The 4,107-nt window shown below is 49.0% G+C and overlaps 1 annotated feature.

Moving 5' to 3' along the window:
• Nucleotides 3,208-3,267: a silencer, noted in NCBI's record as "silent region_1791". NCBI's record gives its function as "represses an Ori minimal core promoter by ATAC-STARR-seq in GM12878 lymphoblastoid cells {active_cell/tissue: GM12878}" and the evidence as "EXISTENCE:reporter gene assay evidence [ECO:0000049][PMID:35858748]".

Below are 4,107 nucleotides of genomic sequence, written 5' to 3' on the forward strand. Positions count from 1 at the left end.
AGAGTAGTGATAACATAGCTGCTCTTGGAGGAGCATTGTGTGACGGCCAAGGCCCAGAGGCCCCGAAGAGGAGGCACTGTTACCATCTCTATTTTACAGATGAGGAAACCCAGGCTCTAGAGGGTGAGAAAATGCCAGAGCTGGACCTACAGTTCTGCCTGATTCCAAAGTTCAAATCTTAACCACTGCTAAAGAAATAAAGCGGTATATATACATATATACATATACACACACACACATACATACATACATACATATGTATATATATATATATACACACACATATACATGCATACATATATATATATATATATATATTTTTTTTTTAATTGAGACACGGTCTCACTCTGTTGCCCAGGCTGGAGTGCAATGGTGCAATCATAGTTCACTGCAGCCTCAAACTCCTATACTCAAGCAATCCTCCCACTTCAGCCTCCTGAATAATTGTGATCACAGGCACACACCACCATGCCCAGCTAACTTTTTATTTTATTTTATTTTTGTAGAGGCAGGCTCTCGTTATGTTGCCCAGGCTGGACTCAAACTCGTGAGCTCAAGCAATGCTTCTACCTTGGCCTCTCAGAGTGCTGGGATTACAGGTGTGAGCCACCATGCCTGGCCTCATATATTTTATAAATATGAAGGCTCTCTGTACCTCATCCCAAAGGGTGTGGTTTATTACCATCTCTCAGGATTTTACACACTCAGGAAACCCACATACTTCGAGTTCTAGGAACCAAACCCATAGGCCAGAATATGGCTGCCCTCCAAAAAGTACTGTGTGCAGTCTTTGTTGTGAAGTGCCTTCTCAGGGTGGCCCCAAGGTTTTCCCAGACTCTTCCATATTGGTGAGGTTCTGTGTGTCTCCAGGGCTGTCAGAGCCCTCATGCCTCAGCCATCCCTGTAAGGGCAGGAGGACAGGCACAGACAGGTAGACACTGACTCCCTTTCTACCTAGGTCACATGGCACATGGCAGGGCAGACAGGACCACATCCAGACCAGGGCTGTGGTCACCAGGGAAGTCCATTAAACCACTGCATTATGTGACATTCTCTAGAAGGCACCTGGGCAGGGAGGCCAGGGCAACTTAGGTTTAGGGCCAGGTTAACTGCCATGGCTTTTGGGGAGAGAAAGTGACCTAAAATATATAGATACAGGAATTTAATACAAATATGACAGCACACACTTGAATATGATTTGTAGGTTCTGACAACTCAGATGAACCTGGCTTTTCATGAAATCAGCGCTAACCAAAGCGGGCATGTATAGCAATGGGAGCCCTTTCCTTCATCCCAACCTAGATCATTCCCTAATCCCTTTTCTATCCCATCCCACTCAGAACTCAGCTCTCAAGAAGCTCAGTTTCATGATGACCTTGAATTTAATCTACCTTCCCTCGGTGCTTTAAGAGTATTTTTTCTACACTAGATTGATTTACAATGCCTTGTTTGTTTCTTTGTAAGCATTCTTGAGCCTTTCTCAGGCGTCTATGTCAAGGCTTTACCTAAACTAATTGTATTGGGCCACAGCTGTGCACAGGGTAACCAAGAATTCTGGTCTCCCTGGGACCATCCCAGGTTTCAAGTCTGGGCAAACCTCTCAGCCCCAAGAAAACCAAGAGGGTTGGTCAGCTTAGCTATGAAGCTCCTCTTCAGAAGCCTTTCCAGCTGGTCATAGCTAGAGCAGTATTGTCAGTAAGTGGTGTAGACCCTCACATGTGGTCCTTGGAGAGCAACAAGGTGTCCCCTGGGAGCTTATTAGACATGCAGACTCTCAGGCCCCACCCGGCCCTGCTCATCAGAATCTGCTCTTCAGCACAGTCCCTGGGGGCTCCTATGCTTGTCACAGTGGAGAACAGCTGTGCTGGTGGGGAGACTTCCTGCTGAGAAACACAGTGTGGATGACATCTGCTTTTGAGGCACACTTCCAGGGGAGTCCCCCATTTGAACTTAGCCCAAAGCTTTTGGGAAGCCAGTAAAGCACTAGACTAGACCAATTTGAAACCATCCTAACTGGGGCAGAGATCAGTGATAGTCTCCAACAAGGCTCAGGAGGGCTGCAGGCATGTAGGGCACCCAGCAGAGCCCCCACACAGGCCTTTTCTCTCTGAGAATGCAAGGGAAAGAGAGGAATGGCCTCATATCTGCTCTAATTATACATACATATATATATATGTGTGTGTGTGTATCTCTATATATACACATTATATTATATATATACATTATATTTTTTATATGTGTGTGTATATATATATATATATATATATATGAAATTTTTTTTTTTTGAGACAAGATCTCAGTGTTGCCTAGGCTGGAGTGCTGTGGAGCAATCACAGCTCACTGCAGCCTTGACCTCCAGGCTCAAGCAATCCTCCCACCTCAGCCTCTCCAGTAGCTGGGACTACAGGCACTCGTTGCTAGGCCTGGCTAATTCGCTTTTATTTTTAGTAGCGACGGGGTCTCACCATGTTGCCCAGACTGGTCTCAAGCTCCAGAGCTCAAGTGATCCTCCTGCCTCAGCCTCCCAGAGTGCTGGGATTACAGGCGTGAGCCACTGCCACGGGCCTCTAATTTGCATATAATGACAAATGATTCACAGGTGTTGGCACCTTAACTATTGTTAGCTAGAAGTTATTTTTGACACCTCATTTCTGATCTTAATACCCTGCAGTTCTCAACTTGGGTGTTTATCAGAAGCTCTATAGAGCTTGTTGTTGTTGTTTTAAAATGCCTGGGGCACACCTCATACTTCCTGATTCAGGGTCTGTGGTGAGGGTCCAGGTTTCTGTAATTTGGGGATGTCCCCGGGTGGTTCTGAGGGGCACCCAGGGACAAGGCCACCAGGAGAGGATCCTGCGCCGCGTTCAGCCCTGGCCTCTCGCTGCCATGCTGCCTGTAACCAGGTGGGGGCGCCCTCTCCCTCCTGGAGCTGAAGGGACAGCGCCGCCGCTCACCTACCTGGACCCGCACGCTCTTTTTTGCAGAGGGAGGGAGGTGTGGTTTATGAGTCTGGACTCCGGAGAACTCAAACCCTCGGGAGGCCTAGAGACTGCGCAGTGTCCGGATATAGAAATATTGACCCCGTTACTGAAACAGTAACAGCAGACTGCAGCTTTTCATGCACAGAGATGTTCCCGAAGGTGCCACGGGGCCTGTTGGCCCAGGCCTGGGAGTGCTTTCTCAGAGCCCTTCACTCTGCACTTCAGTTTCCGCCCCCCGCCCCCCGTCCCCCGCCCGCTATGACTTGACTTTGAGAAGAGCTCAGGTGAGGTGAAGGCTCAGTGCAGGACTGTGGGACTTTTTCTCATAAAGTGTCATGAAAGCTCCTCCTAGGAGCCTTTGTGGACACAGCCTCCCCTACGGTGCCCTTGGGGCTTTAGAGGTGAGCTTCCAGGGGCCGGGCGACCCGCACTCCCTTCCCTCTAGACCAGATGGAACTGAAGGCGCTGCGGCTGAGGAGCTGCCTGTGGAGCACAGAGCGGGGCACAGCGACAGAGAGGGCAGGCAGGGGGCCTGGCTCCAGCCCCGGCTTCCTAGGAAGTTGTGACCCTACGGCCCTCTCGGGACTCAGCTGTCCTTTCCATGTAGGATGGGTTGGTGCAGGTGATCTCCGCCTTGTGCTCTGGCTTCAGCAAGCCGTGATTCCCCGAGTGCTTTCATGTGGAGAAGGGTCCCTGTCCGCTAATGCCCCGGCAGAGAATACACGCAGGGCACATGCGTGCAAACAGACTTAGGACCCAGGTTCTGAGGAGTACGTTCCGGAAAGCTCATCTGCCCTTCTTCCCTGCTGGAGGCACAGGCCACTCCCACCCCAGCAATGGTCCCAACACTGGGGACTCTCACCCATCAATGTCCTTGATGTGCCAGGCACTGTGCAAACTCTTTGCACATGAATCTCACTCCACCCTTCCCACAACTCCATGAGGAAGTATCACTATCCCCATTTTGTTTTATCTTAGTTTTAGAAGACAATTTTTATGTCAGTTTAAGCTATCAAATGTACCAGGTCTGCTGAAATGTATAATTTTTGCCTTTTTCCCTGTTGGACTAAAATAGGGCCAATTGTGTCACCATTTGGCTTATAAAGTATCAAGCATTTTTCCATTA

This window comes from Homo sapiens, chromosome 1 (assembly GCF_000001405.40).
Source record: "Homo sapiens chromosome 1, GRCh38.p14 Primary Assembly".
Classification (NCBI taxonomy): Eukaryota; Metazoa; Chordata; class Mammalia; order Primates; family Hominidae; genus Homo; species Homo sapiens.